The 24,139-nt window shown below is 37.3% G+C and overlaps 2 long non-coding RNA genes across 2 annotated transcripts in view, besides 1 other annotated feature; one reads left to right on the top strand and one right to left on the bottom strand.

Annotated features, from left to right (window-relative positions):
* LOC107986772 (uncharacterized) overlaps positions 1-24,139 on the bottom strand; it is a 129,008-nt gene that overhangs the window by 61,342 nt on the left and 43,527 nt on the right. The window lies entirely within an intron of this gene.
* The window catches only part of LOC101927609 (uncharacterized), a 164,409-nt gene that overhangs the window by 131,851 nt on the left and 8,419 nt on the right, over positions 1-24,139 (top strand). Inside the window, exons 8-9 of the long non-coding RNA XR_007060234.1 lie at positions 17,264-17,350; positions 22,682-22,763. This is a non-coding gene — a long non-coding RNA (uncharacterized LOC101927609). The remainder of the gene's footprint in view (positions 1-17,263; positions 17,351-22,681; positions 22,764-24,139) is intronic.
* Positions 7,591-7,710: an enhancer, noted in NCBI's record as "active region_25671". NCBI's record gives its function as "activates an Ori minimal core promoter by ATAC-STARR-seq in GM12878 lymphoblastoid cells {active_cell/tissue: GM12878}" and the evidence as "EXISTENCE:reporter gene assay evidence [ECO:0000049][PMID:35858748]".

The following is a 24,139-nucleotide window of genomic DNA, read 5'->3' as shown; positions in this document are numbered from 1 at the left end:
CAGGAAACAAACTTGCAGGACACAGGTGAGCTAAGGCTGATGAGCAGGTAGACAGAGGAAATTGGGCTTACAGAGGGAATTTGGGAGCTGTTGTAGGCACTGCTAGATTCAGGAGCTTGACAGGTCTCCCTCTTCAGGAATATAGCCCACTTCTTTGTATGACTTGGGCCAAGGTCACTGCTACCCAAGTGGATACTTACAGAAAACACTCAACAGTTAAATGCTGCAGAAGGGTGCACCCTGGAGGTGCCTAGCCCTGAAGAAAACCACGTGGGCTGTGCAGTGTAGAAAAAAGCACACCCTGGAAAAACCTGGTGAGACAGCCATAGCAGAACCGAGAAAGAATACTCTCTCCTCCAGTAATGACTTTTCTCAGCACTTCTATCAAAGTTTAACATCCACAACTGGCAAAGAAAACAGTTTATAGGCCCTGCTACAATTTGAATGTGTCCCCTAAAGTTCATGTGGTAGAAACTTAATCCCCAGTGTAACAGTGCTGATAGGTGGGACCTTTACAAGGTCATGACGGCTCTGCAATCATGAATAGATCAGTGATGTTACTGCAGGAGTAGGTTCGTTATTCTGAGAGTGGGATTGTTAGGAAAAAAAGTTGGGTCCTCTTGCTGTATCTCCTGTACTCTCTTGTTATGTGATGCCTTCAGCCACAGGATGAAGCAGCCAGAAGGTCCTCACAAGAAGCAGCCACTTCCAGCCTCAAGAACTATGAGCCAAATAAATTGCCATGTTTTATAAATTACCTAGTCTGTGGCATTTTGTTATAGCAGCACTAAAACTAAGGCAGACCTAGGCCCATTCTCATTTTCACAGAACAGACATCAAAGAGTAAAATTGGAGCTGAAATGTCAATTTGTTGATAGCAGCCAACACATGATAGCAATAGCACAAAATATAGGAGGAGGATAAGAACAGTTTGCATATTGTAAGATTATTTTATTTTCCAAAAAGTAGTAATACTATTAATTTATAGAGATTCCAATAGATCAAAGATGCATATGGTAATCTCTAAGAAAATCATAAGAATACAAAAGCTTGTAACTGAAAAAATAGAGAAAAATCAAAAAATAACTTGATTATTCCCAAAGAAGGCAATAAAGAAAAACAGGAGTAAAGAAAAAACTGGGACAAAAAGAAAACAATCCTATGAAATAAATGTTCATTCCCCATTTTACAGTTAAGAAAATGGAAACTTGGAGGAGTTAAAATAACTAGCTTCTTTGTAATGGAATTTGAGTTCAATTTCAAGCTTCTTTAAATAAAATGTTTATGTTCTTTGTATTACAGCATGAGGTCACATTGTAAAATGCTATGGCCTGAATTGTGTTTCCCCCAAAATTCATATATTGAAGCCCTAACTCCCAGTGTGACTATATTTGGAAACAGGGCTTTTAGGAGGTAATTATGGTTTAAAAAGATCATAAAGGTGGGGCCCTAATCTAACAGAATTGGTGGTCTTTTAAGAAGATCTCCTGCCCACCCCCTACATAGCAAGAAAGCCAGCTCTCTGAAAGCCTGTAAGAGAGTCTCCACCAGGAAATGAACTGCTAGCACCTTCATCTTGGGCTTCCCAGCCTCTGGAACTGTGAGAAAATAGATTCTGTTGTTTAAGCCACCCAGTATATGGTATTTTGTTATGCCAGCCCAAGCAGCCTAATACACAAGGTATGCTAGTTTCTTTGTAATACATTATTTTTTCCCTTTTATCTCTTTAAAAATGTAAAAGATAGTATATCAGTAACACTTCAAAAACTGGAAGATTAAAATCACTTATACTTTTATTGTCTCAGCACACCAATGTTATTTTGAATATTTATTTCTGGTCCCTTTTGATTTGCATGCACAGTACAATTATATTGCATATCACCTTGTTTCCGATTTCTCCATATATCATATTTAATTTACATATACAAACTTCAAATTTTCTGTCTGAAATTTGTTAATGCTTTTATTGTTAAGAAATATTTCCTGGCCGGGCGCGGTGGCTCACGCCTGTAATCCCAGCACTTTGGGAGGCCGAGGCGGGCGGATCACGAGGTCAGGAGATCGAGACCATCCCGGCTAAAATGGTGAAACCCCGTGTCTACTAAAAATACAAAAAATTAGCCGGGCGTAGTGGTGGGCGCCTGTAGTCCCAGCTACTTGGGAGGCTGAGGCAGGAGAATGGCGTGAACCCGGGAGGCGGAGCTTGCAGTGAGCCGAGATCCCGCCACTGCACTCCAGCCTGGGCGACAGAACGAGACTCCGTCTCAAAAAAAAAAAAAAAAAAAAAAAAAGAAATATTTCCTAATGGACTCAGTGTGTGTGCATTCACATGCGCATGCTATCACTGTATACTTGTGGTCATTATATGTGATGTACGTATAGATTTTACTACTGTTGCTTGTTAAACTTCCAGGAATAAGAGGCCAGGCATGACAGCTCACACCTGTAATCCCAGCACTTTGGGAGACCACAGTGGGAACATCACTTGAGCCCAGGAGTTTGAGACCAGCCTGGAAAACATAGTGAGACTCTGTCTCTAAAAAATAAATTTCCAGGAATAAAATTACTGGGAGACCAATAAGAGCATTAAAACTAATTTTGTTTCTTGTTGAAATTTTCTGTATCATTTTCTACCAATCCTCAAGTTTTTACTGGTAAAATTACTTTTATTACTATATTTTATTCAATAAGTATATCTAAAATATTATTCCTATAGGAAATCAATATAGTGAGATATTTCCTATAGGAAATCAATTATTAGTGAGATATTTTATATTTTTGATTTGTACTACATCTTTGAAACTCAGCATGTATTTTGTACTTACAACACATCTCAGTTTATGCTAGACACACTTTAAGTACTCAAATAGCCACATGTAGGTAGTGGCTACTCTATAGGATAATGCAGCCCTAGATCTAACTTGCCTATTTTTTGAAATAACAGTGTGTTTATTCCATCATTTATTAAATTTTGTTTGATCTGGTGAGTATAACTTAAGCAACATACCATGTGATGTTGTGTTCTCTAATTTTCTCAGTGAGAACTTACTGACCCAACAGATGCAATATTCTCATGGTTTATTTTATAATATGCTTAATTTGATAAGGTTTATTTCTCAGAAACACACTTTCTTCACGTCCCTTGTAAGTTGGATTCCTAGGTATTTTATTCTCTTTGAAGCATTTGTGAATGGGAGTTCATTCATGATTTGGCTGTCTGTCTGTTATTGGTGTATAAGAATACTTGTGATTTTTGCACATTGATTTTGTATCCTGAGACTTTGCTGAAGCTGCCTATCAGCTGAAGGAGATTTTGGGCTGAGACGATGGGGTTTTCTAGATATACAAACATGTCTTCTGCAAACAGGGACAATTTGATTTCCTCTTTTCCTAATTGAATACCTTTTATTTCCTTCTCCTGCCTGATTGCCCTGGACAGAACTTCCAACACTATGTTGAATAGGAGTGGTCAGAGAGGGCATCCCTGTCTTGTGCCAGTTTTCAAAGGGAATGCTTCCAGTTTTTGCCCATTCGGTATCATATTGGCTGTGGGTTTGTCATAGATAGCTCTTATTATTTTGAGATACATCCAATCAATACCTAATTTATTGAGAGTTTTTAGTGTGAAGGGTTATTGAATTTTGTCAAAGGCCTTTTCTGCATCTATCGACATAATCATGTGGTTTTTGTCACTGGTTCTGTTTATATGCTGGATTACGTTTACTGATTTGCATATGTTGAACCAGCCTTGCATCCCAGGGATGAAGCCCACTTGATCATGGTGGATAAGCTTTTTGATGTGCTGCTGGATTCGGTTTGCCAGTATTTTATTGAGGATTTTTGCATCAATGTTCATCAAGGATATTGGTTTAAAATTCTTTTTTTTGTTGTTGTGTCTCTGCCAGGCTTTGGTATCAGGATGATGCTGGCCTCATAAAATGAGTTAGGGAGGATTCCCTCTTTTTCTATTGATTGGAATAGTTTCAGAAGGAATGGTACCAGCTCCTCCTTGTAACTCTGGTAGAATTCAGCTATGAATCCTTCTGGTCCTGGACTTTCTTTGGTTGGTAAGATATTGATTATTGCCTCAATTTCAGAGCCTATTATTGGTCTATTCAGAGATTCAACTTCTTCCTGGTTTAGTCTTGGGAGGGTGTATGTGTCAAGAAATTTATCCATTTGTTCTAGATTTTCTAGTTTATTTGCATAGAGGTATTTATAGTATTCTCTGATGGTAGTTTGTATTTCTGTGGGATCGGTGGTGATATCCCCTTTAGCATTTTTTATTGCGTCTATTTGATTCTTCTCTCTTGTCTTCTTTATTAGTCTTGCTAGCGGTCTATCAATTTTGTTGATCTTTTCAAAAAAACCACATCCTGGATTCATTGATTTTTTGAAGGGTTTTTTGTGTCTCTATTTCCTTCAGTTCTGCTCTGATTCAGCTATTTCTTGCCTTTTGCTAGCTTTTGAACGTATTTGCTCTTGCTAACTACAAACCACTGCTCAATGAAATAAAAGAGGACACAAACAAATGGAAGAACATTCCATGCTCATGGGTAGGAAGAATCAATATCATGAAAATGGCCATACTGCCCAAGGTAATTTATAGATTCAATGTCATCCCCATCAAGCTACCAATGACTTTCTTCACAGAATTGGAAAAAACTACTTTAAAGTTCATATGGAACCAAAAAGAGCCTGCATTGCCAAGTCACTCCTAAGCCAAAAGAACAAAGCTGCAGGCATCACGCCACCTGACTTCAAACTGTACTACAAGACTACAGTAACCAAAACAGCATGGTACTGGTACCAAAACAGAGATATAGACCAATGGAACAGAACAGAGCCCTCAGAAATAATGCCACATATCTACACCTATCTGATCTTTGACAAACCTGACAAAAACAAGAAATGGGGAAAGGATTCCCTATTTAATAAATGGTGCTGGGAAAACTGGCTAGCCATATGTAGAAAGCTGAAACTGCATCCCTTCCTTACACCTTATACAAAAATTAATTCAAGATGCATTAAAGACTTACATGTTAGACCTAAAACCATGAAAACCCTAGAAGAAAACCTAGGCAATACCATTCAGGACATAGGCATGGGCAAGGACTTCATGACTAAAACACCAAAAATAATGGCAACAAAAGCCAAAATTGACAAATGAGATCTAATTAAACTAAAGAGCTTCTTCACAGTAAAAGAAACTACCATCAGAGTGAACAGGCAACCTACAGAATGGGAGAAAATTTTTGCAATCTACTCATCTGACAAAGGGCTAATATCCAGAATCTATAATGAACTCAAACAAATTTACAAGAAAAAAACAAACAACCCCATCAAAAAGTGGGCGAAGGACATGAACAGACACTTCTCAGAAGAAGACATTGATGCAGCCAACAGACACGAAAAAATGCTCATCATCACCAGCCAGAGAAATGCAAATCAAAACCACAATGAGATACCATCTCACACCAGTTAGAATGATGATCATTAAAAAGTCAGGAAACAACAGGTGCTGGAGAGGATGTGGAGAAATAGGAACACTTTCACACTGTTGGTGGGACTGTTAACTAATTCAACCATTGTGGAAGTCAGTGTGGCGATTCCTCAAGGATCTAGAACTGGAAATACCATTTGACACACCCATCCCATTACTGGGTATATACCCAAAGGATTATAAATCATGCTGCTATAAAGACACGTGCAGACGTATGTTTATTGCTGCACTATTCACAATAGCAAAGACTTGGAACCAAGCCAAATGTCCAACAATGATAGACTGGATTAAGAAAATGTGGCACATATACACCATGGAATACTATGCAGCCATAAAAAATGATGAGTTCATGTCCTTTGCAGGGACATGGATGAAACTGGAAGCCATCATTCTCAGCAAACTATCTCAAGGACAAAAAACCAAACACCGCATGTTCTCACTCATAGGTGGGAATTGAACAATGAGAACACATGGACACAGGAAGGGGAACATCACACACTGGGGCCTGTTGTGGGGTGGGGGGAGGGGGGAGGGATAGCATTAGGAGATATACCTAATATTAAATGACGAGTTAATGGGTGCAGCACACCAACATGGCACATGTATACATATGTAACAAACCTGCACGTTGTGCACATGTATCCTAAAACTTAAAGTATAATAACAACAAAAAAAAGAAACACACTTTCTTGTGGCTCTCAGGATGCTTTAAATTCATAGAATCTCAACAACATGTTGATTCTTCTCAAGTCTTTGGAGTTACCTACAAGTAATAGTATCAGCACACACATAACAGACAAGGATGTGAATAACTGAATCCTTAGAAAAAGTGAGGGAAGACAATCAGGAAGAAAGAACTAATGAAATATTTTACTTTTGAATTCTTGTTGTCTTGTGAATAGAATAATTAGGAATAGCAAATCTTACTTCATAAAGTAAATTAACTTTCAAACAAAATCAGATCATTACTAGGCCCTTAACAAATTGCAAACATGAGTAAGGATTGTTAGACAAATTCTGAGCTACTCCATAATCCACCATGTGTCTTTATCTTTTTAAGGGATTCTTCAATGCTAATATGTAAAATATTCGGAAAAAAGCACCCTTTGAAATTTAAGTCAATATTATTGATCTCTCAGAAATTTATCTGCTAAACAGACAGCTTTTTCAACTCCAAGGAAATGCCCAATAAAGCAAACATTTTACCTGGTAAAAAGAATTTTAAAACTCATGATAGTTAACTTCTCTCCATATTTATGAGACACTTTTTATAGCAAACTTGTTATTTATCTTCTGTAAGTTTGAACTCAGGTTCAGATGTAGTTCAGGCAAATCAAATTATGTAAACAAGTTACAAAATAATTTAATTTCCTCATGTCATCTTCATGATGTAAACTTATCAAAATGAGAGTAGCCCAAGGTTGAAGAGGGTAAACTAATCAAGTTGAGTTAGAAAGACTTCTAGATATATTCAAAATAAACTGGAATATTGAAGCAATCTATCATAATAAAATAGTTGCATATTAAAACCAATCCCATCTGCATTTATTTATATTTATGTTGTCACAAGAAAGAATTAAATTTCAATGATCAAATAAAGCAAGATGGTACAAAGTAAGTGTAAAAGCAAAAGAAAAAGAATCAAAGATAACGATGTAAAATAAAGGCAGGACTAAGGATAACAGAACACTAGATTACACAGTGCCCTTTCCACTAATAAAATTAGGCCACACATTTGTTCTTAGCTGTCTAGCAGCCAATTAGAAAAGGGAAACCTAATCAGTTACAGAATTCAGTGTTCCTAAAATAGGATTAAGTTTCTTAGAATAAAATACAACATATTGTGGTACAAAGTTCAGAAAAGTAATGTTCTCTTTATTGTCTACATGAAGTAGACACCGTCTAATACAATGAATAATAGCGTCACCTATGTAGTACAAAGAATGGGGAATTTTGCAGAGCTCAGTACTGGCTAACAGGTCAGACAATCAACTGGACTTTCTTTGGTGAACTGACTGGTTATTTTGGCTTGAGATATGCAGAACAGGATTGTGTGTGGTGGGGAAACAACACTGGAGGTAGAATAAGGCAAATATAGACTCCAGTTCTGGCTCAGCCGCTAACTAAATCTGGTACCTTGGAAAGGTGCTCATCATTTTCTGGGTTCCTGTTTCCTCATCTGTAAAATAATGGGGCTGTTTTCTAAGGTTCTTTCCAGCTCATAATTTCTATGTTTCTAAGAAAGAAACCACGTGGTTTACTGCAAATTTGAGAGTCAATAGTAAGAATAAAACACCTTTCACTCTCACTGTCTGCAAAGTCATTTTGAAACAAAATGAGAAAAAGTGTTCTCTCTAGAAGAAAACAGAAAATGTCCCCATATCTGTCTGGGTAAAACATTACTATTTCAGGCTTTTCTATACCTGTAACTTATAAACAGGTGCACCAACATCATCAACAATGATGAATGAGTCTTACTGGCATCAATACACAAGCCCCAGTGACTTTTTAGTTACAAGTAGGTGTTTCCACCTCTGAGAGACAGATTGAATTTTGGCTCACCAAGGTTTGGGAAATAACTTGAAATGAATCCTCCATGGAAAAAAAAAAATCAACTAATATTTCATGAGCAGAAGCTATGTAAAATACATTATTTTGGACATTGTGGAAAATATCAATAAACACATATGAAGCAATACGGGAGCTTCAGTATTTTTTTTTTTTTTTACTTGTCACTGGCAGAATGTTTTTAAAAGTTATTCACTAGGCTGGGCGCCGTGGCTCATGCCTGTAATCCCAGCACTTTGGGAGGCCGAGGCGGGTGGATCATGAGGTCAGGAGATCGAGACCATCCTGGCTAACATGGTGAAACCCCGTCTCTACTAAAAATACAAAAAATTAGCCAGGCGTGGTGGCGGGCACCTGTAGTCCCAGCTACTCTGGAGGCTGAGGCAGGAGAATGGCGTGAACCCGGGAGGCGGAGCTTGCAGTGAGCCGAGATTGCGCCACTGCACTCCAGCCTGGGTGACAGAGCGAGACTCCGTCTCAAAAAAAAAAAAAAAAATTATTCATTAGATTCTTCATTTAACATAGTGTCATGCTTTATAATCTTTAGTAAGTGGTGAGTACATTTCAAAAATTACAATTAATGCTAAACAAATACAGTAATTTCATTTGTACCTTTTATCAGCAACGATTAAACCAGTAAAAGGAAACTTGTGATTTGCGTAGTATTAGTCTGAGTCCTTTGGATTTCTAATCCCAAAGACTGGATTGTAGTACACTGCAACTGCTTGAGAAAGCAGTGTTGCTTTGTCAGGCTGAATATTTGAAATGGGAACAGCATTTTACCTAATCTATATCGTTCTCACCTCAGATACGGGAAGAAGGGAAAACGTGGAGTCTTTCATAGCTATTATTCCTATAATTGATGTAGTGCATGGCTAAAGATTCCAGAAAGAAACAAGCTAGGCTACAGGCACCCAATAGGAGACACTCATGTCCTACAGATGGCGGAAGAACACACATTCCAAACACACAGCATACTTCTGTTAGTCCTGATCTCTCTTAAACTTCACCTACAACTAAAAGTACTTGCCTGTTAGTTCTTAGAACTTGAAGAGAAGCAGGAAGCATTAGACTACATGTGAGATTAAAAATCTTCCCATTAATTCTATATGGTACGTTTATTTTAGTATGGTGCTGGTCAATGTTCAGCTTTTGGATTGGATTTGAATCCCCTCTTTCCTGTATCCTAGACTTCTCTTACCTAAGCCTGATGTACACCTTCATTTTCTTAGACATGAGTCTTCCTCAACTTTGGCCTTCTGATTGGTTTTCCTTGTGTTTTCTAAATTTCTTCATGTAGACAATGCTTTTCCTAATTCTACATCTGTAGAACACCTATAAGAGTAAGAGACTGGAATCTCTTCAGGAAACAGAACAATTGTCCATTTTAACACACATCTAGTCACAGTCGGTCCCCCAAAAAGAAATCTAGAAAAGCTCAAAGTTGTCCAGTAGATTGGATGAGTGAAATAAAGGTGTGATCTGGATCAGAAGTGCAAAAATGAATGGAAGAAAATATAGACTGAAAGTCTGCTTCTACCAGAAAAAAAAAAGTTTCTGCTCTTAGGAGACCTTCACATACCTTTGAGGAAAATATGGTTTATGTGGTTACCATCGTGGATTCTTGGGGTCTATTCTTGCTCTACTACTTATTTATCAGTAAAACTTTAGGTAGAGTTATCTAACTGCGCTGAGCCTCATTTTTCTCATTTATGACATGTCAAATATAGTAGTACCTTTTTCATAAGATTGATGGAATACGCAAATAAGATTATATATTTAAAACACAAGGGCTGGCTAACTAAGTGTCACCTATTATACCTCATCTAATATACACATATTCTAAGAAAGTTAGACTTGTCTTTTCTCTTCAATTTTTATACTCTTTGGCATAACATCTCTTAGTTAAATCAGGTTAATTTAACTCCACTTTATAAGCACTAGCATCTTATTCACCTAATATTGGTAAGGTGGGCTTTCATGTTCTTCTGCACTAAAGCCTGCAGCAACTAATTTGTAATGATGGGTAGTGTTAACTCTTCATTTTTTATAGGGATTTGGGCTTGTAGGAAGAAAAAGGAAGAAAGGAAAAGGGAGACAAAAAAAGGGACTTCATATGAATTTCCCTTTAGGGTAGAATTACATACATTTACCCATGCTCAAAATTTAGTATCTTGTTTCAAGGGAGCAGTTAAGCACTTAATCAAGAAACAATATCTCACTTCTAAAATATACTCAGGAGAGGACTCTATGAGACAAATTTAAGTCCAAACCTGAACTCTACCAGTTACGAGAATTTAGGAAATCACTTAGCTTTCCCAAGTCTTTGTTTCCTCTTTGTTAAATGAAGGTAATTATTCTCATGAGGTTGTCTGAGGATTAGAAGTAAAACATCTGGTACACACTAGGCATTTGATAAATGCTAGGTCAACTTTCCACATTGATCGACTTATAAAAATAAACCATAAAAACATCAAACAAGCAAACTAAGATCCACCACCTGATAGAAATGTACTTTAAACATAACTTCTTTCTGTTTTGGTTATTGTCTATTATGTACAAATCAGTTAAACATGCAGTTTTAAACTCTTTAAACTCTTTGGGTTTCTTTAAACTCTTTAGGGATGTGCTTAATCGTCTAGTAATTTCTGCTATCTTTGTTTACTTGATCTATGAAGGTACTGGGAAAGATTTGCTAATATCTCCGCCATGATTACAGAATGTCTATTTCTTTTAGTAATCCTGTCAACTTTTGCTTCATATATTTGGTCACTTCATTTAGAATAATTACATTTTCTTTGTAAAATGATGTCTATTGCTGGGCGTGGTGGCTCACGTCCCAGCACTTTGGGAGACTGAGGTGGGCGGATCACCTGAGGTCAGGAGTTTGAGGCTAGCCTGGCCAACATGGTGAAACCTCATATCTACTAAAAATACAAAATATAGCCGGGTGTGGTAGTGGGCGTCTGTAATCTCAGCTACTCAGGAGGCTGAGGCAGAAGAATCGCTTGAACCCGGGAGGTGGAGGCTGCAGTGAGCCAAAATCCTGCCATTGCACTCCAACCTGGGTGACAGAGCAAGAATTGGTCTAAAGAAATAATAATAATAAAAATAAGTCTATTATTGTGTAGAGATACACTTTATCACTAATAATTATTGTGTTCTTAAAAAATACCTTAAATTGTATTTTTTTCCTGATATCATAACAGCATTTTCTTTCCTCTAGCTTAATATATACATGTTATTTAGTTTGCTATCTTACTTTCAATCTTTCTATGCCTTTAGGCTTTATGTATCTCCAGTAAATATCATGTAAAAATTGGTATGACACTACCTATTACTGAGCTTATTCCATTTACTTGAACTGTAATTACTAGTATGTTTACATTTATTTCTATTATCCTCTCCTATACAATTCATATCCCAGTTTATTTTTCTTCTCCTTTGTTTTCTGTTGGATCAATTGAGCCTTTTGTTCCCTGTACTAGTTTGGAAGTCATATACTCATTATTTAAGTGGTTACCCTACTGTTTTTTATAATATTTTTATTGAGATTTAATTCACATACCATAAAAATTAACCACTTGAAGTTTACAACTCAATGACTTTTATTATAGTCACAGAGTTATTCAACCATCACAACAATCTAATTTTAGCCCATTTTCATCACCCTAGCAAGAAACCCTATATCCATTAGCAGTCACAACCACAGTCCTAGGTAACCACTAATCTATGCTCTATCTCTTTAGGTTTGCCTACTCTTGACATTTCATATAAATAGAATCACACAATATGCAGTCTTGTGTAACTTTTCTCTTACTATAGTGGTTTCAGTCAACATAATGGACAAAGTTCATTCAAATTATAGTATATATCAATACTTCATTCCTTATGTCCAAATAACATTCTATTGCACAGATATGCATGTGCTATCCACAGGGGCTCCTGAAACCAATCTTCCCACAAATATCAAGGGAGGATTGTATTAGCATTTTAACAATGTTAAGTTTTCTTACCTGTAAACATAGGATGTCTTTCCATTTATTTATGTCTTCTTTAATTTCTTTTGACAATGTTTTATGGTAGTTTTCAGTTGACAAGTATTGCATTTCTTTTGTGAAATTTAATTATAGTTATTTTATTCTTTTGTGTGCTATTGTAAATGGAATTGCTTTCTTAATTTCATTTCCTGATTGTTAATGTAGAGTTGTCCCTTGTTATCTATGAGGAATTGTTTCTAAGACCTCATGTAAATACCGAAATCAGTGGACACTCAAATCCTAATATAAAATGGGATAGTATTTTCATATAACCTATGCACATCTTTTCTATATCTTAAGTCATCTCTAGATTACTTATGATACCTAATACAATGTAAATATTATATAAATTGTTGTTATACTATTTAGGGACCAAGAAAAATTCTGTACATGTTCAGTACAATTTTTTTTCAAATATTTTCAGTCTGCAGTTGGTTAAATCCATGGATGTGGGACAGGGGCTGAACACATTTATATGAGAAATACCACTGATTTTTGCATATTGATGTATCCTAAAACCTTGTTGAACTTGTTTGTTAGTTGTTAGAGTTTGTTTTATTCCTTAGGATTATTTATATACAAGGTCATGTCATCTTCGATTAGAGATAGTTTAATTTTTTCCTTTCCTATCTAGATTCCTTTTATTACTTTTTCTTGCCTAATTTCCTTGGATAGAACACCTAGTACTGTCATGGATAGAAGTGGAAAGAATAGGCATCCTTGTCTCGTTCCTGATCTTAGGTGAAAAGCTCTCTATTTTTCACCATCAAATATGATGACAGCTATGGACTTTTTCATAGATTTTATGATTAAGAAAGGTCCTTTCTCTTAGTTTGTTGCACACTTGTACATGAAAGGATATTTTGTTTGTCAAATGCTTCTTATTGATCAATTGACATGTGATTTTTGTAATATATTCTATTACATTGATTTATTTTGGGGTGTTAAACGAACCATGGACTCCTGAATAAATCTCACTTGGTCTTGATGTGTAATCCTTTTGTGTATGTGTTGCTACATTCATTTTGATAGTGTTTTGTTAATGATTTTGCACCTATATTTTAGGAGATATTGATTTGTCACTTTCACTTTCTTTTCTCATGATGCCTTTTCAGGTTTTGTATTAGGGTAATATTGGCCTCATAGACAAAATTGGAAAACATCTTCTGTTTCTTGGAGAGTTTGTTGGGGATTGGCATTAATTCACTTTTAAACGTTTGGTAAAATTCACCAGTGAAGTCATTTTTGCCTGTACTTTTCTTTGTGGACAGGTTTTCAATTACTAATTCAATCTATTTCTTATTATAGGTAGATTCAGATTTTCAGTTTCTTGAGTTAGATTCAGTAGTTTGTGTCCTTCTAGGAACTTGTCCATTTCATCTATGTTAACTCATTTGTTAGCATTCAATTGCTCAGAGTATTCCCTTATAATTATTTTTAAAAATTGCTTTAAGGTGGTAGTGACATCCTATCTTTTCTTCTTGATTTTGGTAATTTGGTTTCTAGAGCTAAGTTAGCTCTTATAAGAAATGGGAAACACTGTAGTTGATTCATCATTGAGGAGTCTGACATCAGGTCAAAATCTTATGTGTCATCTCTCAGAGCTGACTATAGACAATTACAAAGATGTTGAAAGTAAACGTGGTAAAATTACAAAGATGTTGAAAGTAATCATGCCAAAACATGGCATGGTCCACATGGCAAAAAATGGCGGGGGTGGGGGGCGCCTTTTGAGAAACCTTTCTTATTACATTCCATCAGCTGTTTTTCATTTATTAAGATTTTGTTGAACAGATAGTACAGAGAGCTCCTATATATTCCATCACTTCTTACCTCCCCAGTTTCTCCTATTATTAACATCTTGCATTAGTGTAGCACATTTGTTACAACTGATGTTACAATCAGTGGAACAATATTGATACATTATTAACTATGGCTAAAATCCAAAGACTCAGTAATACCAATACTGGTGAGGATTTGAAGTCCATAGTTTGCTTTAGGGTTCATTCTTTGTGCTGTACAGTTGTATGTGTTTTGACTAATGTGAAATGCCACGTATCTACCATTATAATATCACATAGAATAGTTCCAATGCCCTAAGAAATCTCCTGTGCTATAACTGTCATCCCTCCCCCTGAATTTCTGAAAAACACTAATCTTTTCTCTGTCTCTATATATAGTTTTGCATTTCTTACAATGTCATGTAGTTGGGAAGATACAGTATATAGCCTTTTTATACTGGCTTTTTTCACTTAACGATATGCATTTAAGTTTCCTTCATGTCTTTCATAGCTTAATAGCTCATTTCTTTTTATCTCTAGATAATACTTATCTTAGTTCATCTTGTGCTCTTGTAACAAAATACCACAGACTGGGTAATTTATAGAGAACTGAAACTTATTTCCTCACAATTTCAGAGACTGGAAAGTCCTAGATTAAGGGGCTGACATCTGGTGGCCTTGTTGCCAAGTCATCCCATGGCAGAAAGCAGAGGGCAGAGAGAGGGCAAGAGAGAGACGCAAGGGGGTTGAACTCATCCTTTTACAAGGAATCCATGCATGCCGGCAGAGCTCTCATGGCCGTATCACCTCTTACAAGTCCCATCTCTTAATATTGTTACAATGGCAATTAAATTTCAACATGAGTTTGGGAGGGGACAAACATTCAAGTTATAACAATATTTCGTTGTATAGATAGGCCACATTTATCTGCTCACCTATTGAATGACATGTTGGCTGCTTCCAGTTTTTGGCAATTGTAAATGAAGCTGCTATGAACATTCACATGCAGATTTTTGTGTAGACATAACTTCAACTCATTCATTGGTTTATTTATTTATTTTTTTGAGACAGGGTCTTGCTCTGTCACCCAGGCTGGAGTGCAGCAGCGTGATCACCGTTCACTGCAGCCTCGACCTCCCTGGCCTTAACAATCCTCCCACTTCAGCCTCCTGAGTAGCTAGGACTGCAGACACATGACAGCAAGCCTGTCTAACTTTTTTTATTTTTTTTGTAGAGACTGAATCTTGCCATATTGCCTATGCTGGGCTCAAACTCTTGGACTCCAGCAGTCCTCCTGCCTAGGCTTCCCAAAGTGCTGGGATTACAGGCATGAACCACTGTGCCCAGGCTTCAACTCATTTGAGTAGATACACAGGAGTGTGGTTGCTGGATCAAATGGTGGGACTGTTTACCTTGATTAAAAAAAACTGCCTGTCTATGCCATTTTGCATTCCTACCAGTAATAGGAATTACAGTCCCTGTTTACTATATATCCTCACCAGCATTACCTGGTGTTATCAGATTTTTGGATTTTAGCCATTCTAATACATATATAGCCATATCTTGTTTTTATTTGAAATTTCATGAAATAATTTTGAACAACTTTTCATATATTTATTTGAGATATACCTTTTTATCTTCTTTTGTGAGGTGGTTGTTTAGGTCTTTTCCCCATTTTTAAATTGAGTTGTTTATTTTCTTATTGAGTTTTAGGAGTTTATATATTTTTGTGTATCTTGCCTATAAGTTGATCTATAGTCTTCTCATCCTCTTAATGTTAACCACTGAAATTTCCAGTGTTTTTGAGAACACATTTAAGAGTAAAGCTTCCCATGTTCTGTTCCAAATAAAGTCAGTTCCCCTAGAGAGAGCTATGGAGTTCCCTCTTCCTACATGCTGCTGTTTGCCTTCGGGAGGAAACTCTGCACCACTTCTCCTGAGCTGGGGGTGGGGACAGTGGCTAGCTTCTCTTATAATGATACCCCCGGCCAGGCGCAGGTGACTTATGCCTGTAATCCCAGCACTTTGGGAGGCCGAGGCGGGTGGATCACGAGGTCAGGAGTTCGAGACCAGCCTGACTAACATGGTGAAACCCCATCTCTACTAAAAATACAAAAATTAGCTGGGCATGTTGGTGGGTGCCTGTAATCCCAGCTACTCAGGAGGCTGAGGCAGGAGAATCGCTTAAGCCCAGGAGGCAAAGGTTGCAGTGAGCCGAAATCATTCCACTGCACTCCAGCCTGGGCGACAGAGTGAGACTCCATCTCAAAACAAACAAACAAACAATCAAAAACACCAAAACAATACCCCTCTGACAGTTCACAGGCCTGGGACTTGAGTCTCTGGTCTTCTCTGCTAGCTTCTTCTGACATGAAATCTCTGCTCTCACTAATGAGCTGGAGCAGGAATGATTAGGGTTTGGTATTCTCAGTCTTCCATGGCTGGGCCAGCACTTCCACCTTGTGAGTGGGAAATGGGTACAGGGAGCCCAAGATCTATCGGCCATGCTGGCCTAAATAGAGATTCTACAGCTGAGAGCCTGGGAGTTGGGGCAGTGAGAAATGCAAGTGGCTTGTCAGGGAGAGACCACTCTCCTGGACAAGAACATGGGGAAAAAAAGAGCCCAGTTTTCTAGGTTACAGCTACCCAGAGAGAGCTTCCAGCTTCCAACACGTGGAGCTGGAAATGAGGTTGTAGCTCAAAACTATAGACGCTCACTCTTCTGAGATTTAGGTTTTCTTGAATAAATGTTTCTCCACTTGGTCTGTGCCCTTAGGACAATATACAGATACTGTAAATGGTTGATTTTTATAATTTTCACTAGTTATGATTGATTCTATGGGGAGTGAGTTCACGGAGTCCCTCATACCACTGTTCCTGAAGTGCTTCTATTATTTTTATATAAATAATTATTAACCAGGAAATGGGTGCATTTTTTAATGATTGAGGTTGAATACTAATTGATGAAGTGAAGAGAAAAAAATTTACAATTACACACTAGTCAGGTTGCATCTCAACTCAGTTTTTGTCTCCTAAAGGAACATGAGCTTACTTGCTTGTTGAATTATGCTTCCTGGTCAAATTCTAGGCACTTACTCAAATCACTTTTACTGCTAGCACCTGAATATGCCACTTTGGGTTTAACCATATGAAATAATTCACATAGTAAAAGCTGAAGTTTGTACTTTTATATTTTTCCATTCCCAAGCTATGTCTTATCTAAATATCTCTAACAATATATACTGATGAAATACTGTCTTTGCCATATAATTAAATCTGTATTAGGTTTTAACTGACACACACACACACAAAGAAATGAAATAGTGACTAATTGCCTTGTTTCACTTCCTTCTTGTATGTTTCAATTTTAGGATAGAAGAGGCCCTGGTTAGCAGCTTCAGATGATGGATACATAAAAATGGGAGAGAGAAAACATATAAGAGTGACTAATTGTTGAGGTAAATTTCTATAGGAGGTAATTCAGGATGGAATCATGGCACCAGTAAAAACAATACTCCGATAAAAGAACTTAGAAAAGATTTCTGTATTGGGATGGCCCATTCTGAATGTTTGTGAAATAATAAATCAGTAAATTTAATAATCTGTAGGAAGTGAGATGGGAGGGGAGGAGGAAATAGGGAGTTGATAATCAATAAGCATAAAGTTTCAATTAATACAAGATGAGTAAGTTCAAAAGATCTACTGTACAATGTTACTAATAGTTAGCAATACTGTATTGTACAGTTAAAAATTTGTCAAGCAGGTAAACCTCATGTTAAGTGCTGTTACCAGAATAAAATTTTAAAAAATAAATGAGATAACAAATTGGAATTTGTGGCTTCAGAAAAACAATGTTTGCAGTTGGATGGTGAAAATATTGCAGAGTTCATTCCAGATGAACAGAAGGATTACAGGACAGCAGTGTAGATAGTTTAAATAGTATGAATGTATAAATTTGCATAACATTTATGTGAGTTTTTCTAGTATGCTTGGCAACCCAGAAGTAGGAACAGACAAAGCAGATAAGTGTTGGAGACTTTCCTGAGTATGGGCTAGGCCTCCAAGCAAACACAACCCTGAATTGGCTGACTCTGGATAATAAAGCAAGGAAGACCAAAAAAAAACTAATGGGGTGTAAGACCAGGAGTGGGGTTTGGAGTGTTTTGATTAGAAGTGAGAGAGCAACTATGGGCTGGGCATGGTGGCTCACACCTGTAATCCCAGCACTTTGGGAGGCTGAGACTGGCAAATCACCTGAGGTCAGGAGTTCAAGACCAGCCTGGCCAACATGGTGAAACCCTGTCTCTACTAAAAATACAAAAAATTAGCCAGACGTGGTAGCACACTCCTGTGATCCTAGCTACTTGGGAGTCTGAGGCAGGAGAATTGCTGGAACCTGGGAGGTGGAGGTTGCAGTGAGCTGAGACCGTGCCATGGCACTCCAGCCTGGGTGACAGAGCGAGACTACATCTCCAAAAAAAAAAAAAAATGTGCCAAATATTTAGGTTGTGACCAAGAAGAGTTAGAAAACTTGGAGGAATTGAATGAATAAAGGTAAAGGGAGTGTTTTTTTTCTGAGCATGGCTTGAGGTTAAGTAAAGCTGATAACTGGAGCTGGTGGCTTTGTATTAATATATAAACTTTGTACACCTTCTCAGATTCCCTCAATGTCCTATTTCTGAAGAATCTACCCTCCTTGCAGACCATCAGTGACTTTACCAGTACCCTTGCATAGTTTTCAGAGCTGGCTTGGGTCAGATTTAAATACTGGGCCCAGGTGGTCTAATTTCTCACATGCCATGCTCATCCTTGCCAAGTCACCTCACCTGCACCCTGGAGGGTAAGATGGTATGATAGCAGGAAAGGGAATTCTCTGAGGCAAACTTCGACCACCAGGAAGTAGGAGTCAGAAGGTTCCAGGCAGACACATCTCCCTTTGTCTCTTTGGTTGGCTACTTTGAACTACGGCCTTTCCTTGCAATCCTTGCAAAGAAATTCCTGCCTACCAGAACATGCCTACTCAGGGCACTTACTGCTTCTTTTTGCAATTTGTTGAGAAGGCCAGCTAGTGCAATAGCCCATTGTGTTGCATTGCTTTGCATCTTTCCTTGTCTTACTATCAATTTTCTACCATCCCTGCCCCAAGCTTGCACTTCCTCAGTAAAGGGTAACTATTATAATCTTTGCTTCAGGCTCTGGTTTCTAAAGAGGGTAGGTTAAGGCAAAGTTTTGATGGGGAAGTATTTTCTTAAATGTGGATAGGGTCAAATATAAGAATTCTATTAATAGAATTTAAGTTTATTTAGATAGAAGTAACAGATTTGGAAGGATAAGATGGCTAATAGATCACCATCGAACATCAGCAATTCTCAATGTGACATGGAAATACTGTACTGACTATTTAGAAGAAAGGCTGAAAAAGCAGTAATCTCAGAGATACTAAGTTGAAGTGGTCTTACATAAGAAAGTGCTATCATAGTTTGAATATATTTACAATTATAGTATCATGAGAGAAGAAAAAATATCCAAAAGAACATACATATGCAGTCACACATACAAGGCCTTTAAAAAGGTTAGCTGAAAAATGTTTGTTATGCTTTTCACTGAAAAATGTTAAATCAATGTTCATTTTTCATTTACAAAATATTTCCTTGGGCCTTTTATGGGCTGGCACCCTATGTGCTCAGGATAAAGATAGGTAAATGTAAATAAAACGTCTCCTGAACCCTGTTTAACAGAGTTTATATTCTAACGGGGGGGAAGCAAGAAATAAAAAATAGATATAATAAGTAAATTATATACAATAAGGATAGTAAGTACTGTGGAGAAAATAGAGGAAGGGAAGGGATAAAGACTTTGGAGGAGGTGCTGGAAGGATGACAGTTTGCAGTCGTAAATAAGATGACCAGGCTATGCCTCACTGAGAAAAGACTTCGAAAAAGCTGAGAGGGTGAGTTACGTGGATATGAAAATGATGCAAATTCCAGGCCGAAGACAGCTCAGGCAAAGGCTTGAAGCACGTGTGGCGTTTCTGAGAACAGCAAGGAGGCTCAAGAGGCTGGATGAGAGCAAGTGATGGGGAGCGTGGTGAAGAGCAGGTCAGGGAGGTACTAGGGGAGAGCCAGACCATGTAGGGCTTCTGGGCTATTACAGGCATTTTGGCTATAACTTTAAGGGAAATCAGGAGCTACTATAAGGTTTGAAGTAGAGAAGGGACATACTCTGACTTCCATGTTATCAGGATTACTCTGGATGTATGTTGTAAAGATGGTAGTAACCTAAACTATGGCACTGGTTCAAGCCAGAATGTTAGCAGCAGAGTGGCTGATGAAAGACTGAATTCTGAGTATGTTGAAAATAAATCCAATAGGAGGCTTAATATCTGATGGACTGAAAATAGAGTATGAGAGAAAGTAAGGAGTAAAGACGTGACTCTAAAATTTCTCACTTAACCTGAAAGGTGATTAACATGAACTGGGATGGATAGGACTCTGGTTGGAGCAGACTTAGAGGAAAGATGAGAATTTGGTTTTGAGCATTTTAGATTCGGTACACTTTTAGACATCTAAGTGAAGATAGAAAGAGGGAGTTGGATATATGAATAGAAGCAGGTGTCCGCAGATATTTTCATAAAGGACCAGATAGTAAATATTTTAGGCTTTGTGGACCAGATGTTCTCTGTCACAACTACTCTGCCTTTGTGTAGCCCCAGACACTACGTGGGAGAATGACACGGCTGTGTTCCAGTAAAGCTTTATTTTAGAAAACAGGCTGTGGCTGAATTTGGCCTGAGGGCTGCAGTTTGCTAACTCCTGATCTAGAGTTTGGGGGAGAAATCTGCGTTGGAGAAGTACATTTGGAAGTTATCAGTATGAAATATTTGTAAGGCCATGTTAATTTGCTGTAATAACTTATGCATTTAATATTTGTGCTTTTCCCCTTGTGAATAGTAATTGCATTTTCTTAACTATATATCAGTTTTCCTTAAAAAGAAGCCTACAACAAACTATTAAAAAGCCAATTTCATGTTTTAAAAACATCTGAATGAGGACAATTTTTTTAAAAAAGAACACAACTGATCACTAAATATACATGTGGAAAACATGTAATATTTGGTCAGCTTGCAATATGCACATATAATTGGATATTTAAGGAAGGCTGTGCTTTTCAGCTTAGCCAATCTATAGACACAATTTAGCATACACATATACATATGTGTATATATTTATACTTGACCCTTGAACAACAGACATTTGAGCTACTCGGGCCCACTTATGTGCAGATTTTTAAAATAAAAGTGACACTGAGTGCACCTACCTCCCCTTCTGTATGATTCTTAATAACACTTTCTTCTCTCTAGCTTATTTTAAGAGTATAGTATATCACACATGTAACATACAAAATATGTGCTAATCGACTGTTTATGTGTGTATGTTATTGTCAGGGCTTTCAGTCAAGGGTAGGCTATTAGTAGTTAAGTTTCTGGGGAGTCAAAAGTTAGACACAGAGGGGGGTTGATTTCCCCAACTCCTGCATTGTGCAAAATGTCAACTGTACATATAAAATAAGGATGAAAATATGTTGTCAAATCATATTTTAAATAAATGAGAAATGGCATATATGCCACAAAAAGAGATTTGAACAAAAAAGGAAATTGTCACCCGTGAAATAACTCAAGGCAACCCTGATTTCCTAGCCAGAGATGCTGTGGAAATTAACAGTTTTAAGGCAAAGTGATATAATAGTAATGATAAAGAAAGATTCAGTTATCAAAAAGATGAATCAACAGGATGTTTAACAAGCATACACTCTAGATGGGTTCTTTCCTAATTACAAATTAGTTTAGCAAAGACAGAAGTACTACTAAAAATGCTTGCAGGCAGAAGAAAATTGTCAAATCTGAATACATGATATTCAAACCATATAGAAACACAGTATTAGGAAAACAGAGAAGGACAAAATAAAGGAGCTCATGAGCGGGCACTAGGAAAGGGACTGTTTCTATGCAATTCTTTTAGAAGAGAATAGGAGGCTATAGTCTTTAAAGCAGTGTTTGTTAACCTTTTTAAGTTTTACTACTGCTTCCTTACAGCATCTTTTTAGGCTATTTCTCCCTTATCCAAAGCTCCTATGAAATTTTATTACCCTAGATACATCACATATTTGTATATGTACAGATATGTAGTACATAAATTTTCTGGAGGGCCACAGCCAATTTAATAGCTAAGATTTTGCCTGCTGAGAACCGATGCTCCCCCCACCCCTAAAGACTGACCCATTGTTAGGGGCGATATTGCACCCTGGAGAATGCTTTAAATGGTGGACTACTTCATATCAGATCTACAGTCTTCAAAGTTTTTCTGAAATATCTTTGTCAATGGGGTGGGTGGTGGGAAGGTGATGGAGAAGTGGGTTCAAGGAGTACAGCTAAGGAAACAAAAGCTCGCTCTTATACTTGCTTTTTCTTATCAGTTGAACCTAATTTGACAGCGAAGCATAGAAACATATAAAGGAAAAAAAACAGTTTTAGCCCAGGTATCTCAATTTTAGGGAAATATGGGTAAAAATACTGGGGAAAAATAGGTACTAAAGATAAAGTGAAAATTTCAGAAGAAATATCCTTATAATTGATAGAATTATTGCCTCATATAAAGATCAAACTAAATATTACTTTCACTTTCTAAAGTTTAATCATCTACCAAAATCCTTTTGTAGCCAAGATCAGTGTGAGTTATAAAAGTATGCTCAATCTGTTTTGATGAGATAATCTGATTGTTCTAATATCTCAGTTTCCAGGGCTCAAACCAATCTTGAATTGGAATTTCAAGACATAAAAACCACTGCAGGAACCTGCTGGAGAAACGGCCTCTGGTATCTCTATCTGAAATATGATTATCTTAAGTTCGCAAAGCATTGTGTCTGCAGTGTGAGTTTGAAAACAACAATGTTAAGGCAACTTCGCAGCTTCTTAATCAAGCCCTTCTCCATCTCTCCGTGTGGTTTTTGGGGTGGTGGAGGTGGAGCCAAAAAAGAGAGGGCAGTTTCCCAGGGCTGAAGATGCTACCATGACTCATAGGATCTATGCAAACCCTGTGAGTGAATTCTGAGGAAGAAGAATGAGTAATATTTTGATTTTATTACTGATGGTAATAAGATAGTATCATCAGTGTGGTATATTCTGATTACTGAATTCTATTCCCTATTTTCTTCCTGTGGCCAAATAAAATTTGTGTGTGTAAGCTATGATATTTAGTGTTGTTATCTGATGAGACAGGTTTAGTGGAAAAGTTCATTTTAAATAAACATTAAAATTGTTTCAGCCTCAGATTTTTAATCCAAATCATTCCTTTGACACCAGAAGAATTTTCCTCAGAGTCAACTCCAAAGATAAAGCTGCCTGTTTTCCTATTTGCCCAGAAGTAAAGAGGTTGCAAAATGATAAGAATACGCAAGTAGAACATAAGGATGTTGGAAGGAGAAACTCAGGAGGATGGTAATGAACAGGGAGATTTTTCTACAGACCTGGTTTTCCTATCACCCATCAGCTACACTTCTGGCCTGTGACTTCTTTGGGACTCTTGTGTAACCCTTTTGCACATCTGAACAATATTCACTTTTTAAAGTGAAGAGTTGACAACAATTGTGAATTGTAGCTTTGAACTAAGCTCCATTATTCCAAGGTCATTGCTTAGCTAATTTTAAACCAATTTAAAATTTCTCAGGAAAAGCACATATTTAATGCTACATTTTTCCATAATCACGTTTCAATCAGTTCATTCACCCAAGAACCCATTCAATTATCCACCCAAGTCCTATTCATCCTTCAGTTTTTCCAAAGAACCTATTCCTATTTCCTACGAGATAAAATCCAAGCCACTCCTTGGCTTGACAGAGGATATGCTTCCCAACCTGAACTCAATCTAACTTTAATAGAAAATCTCTGTTGGAGCCTAAGCTTTGCCCAATGCCATCATGTTTGGGTGTGATTTGTACCCTGGTAGAAGAGCCTGTTGGGAATCATTTTACTTGTTTCATGTAGGAGCCACAGAAAGACATCCTTCTAAGAGAAGGGTGTGTCAGACAGGGAAATTGGCTCAATAACAGTATCTCAATTGTGAGTGCATCCTGCTATCTGTTAGTCAGCCTTGTTTACTGCCTGGATTCATTTCTGAAAATTAAGAGAGGGGCTAAAGTACAAATGGAAGGAACTATGTTCACTAATAACTCTGAAGCACTGGGGCACAAGG

Source organism: Homo sapiens, chromosome 7 (genome assembly GCF_000001405.40).
Source record: "Homo sapiens chromosome 7, GRCh38.p14 Primary Assembly".
NCBI classification, from domain to species: Eukaryota; Metazoa; Chordata; class Mammalia; order Primates; family Hominidae; genus Homo; species Homo sapiens.
Note: the sequence above shows the minus strand (reverse complement) of the source record. Positions and strands in the feature narration are given on the sequence as shown.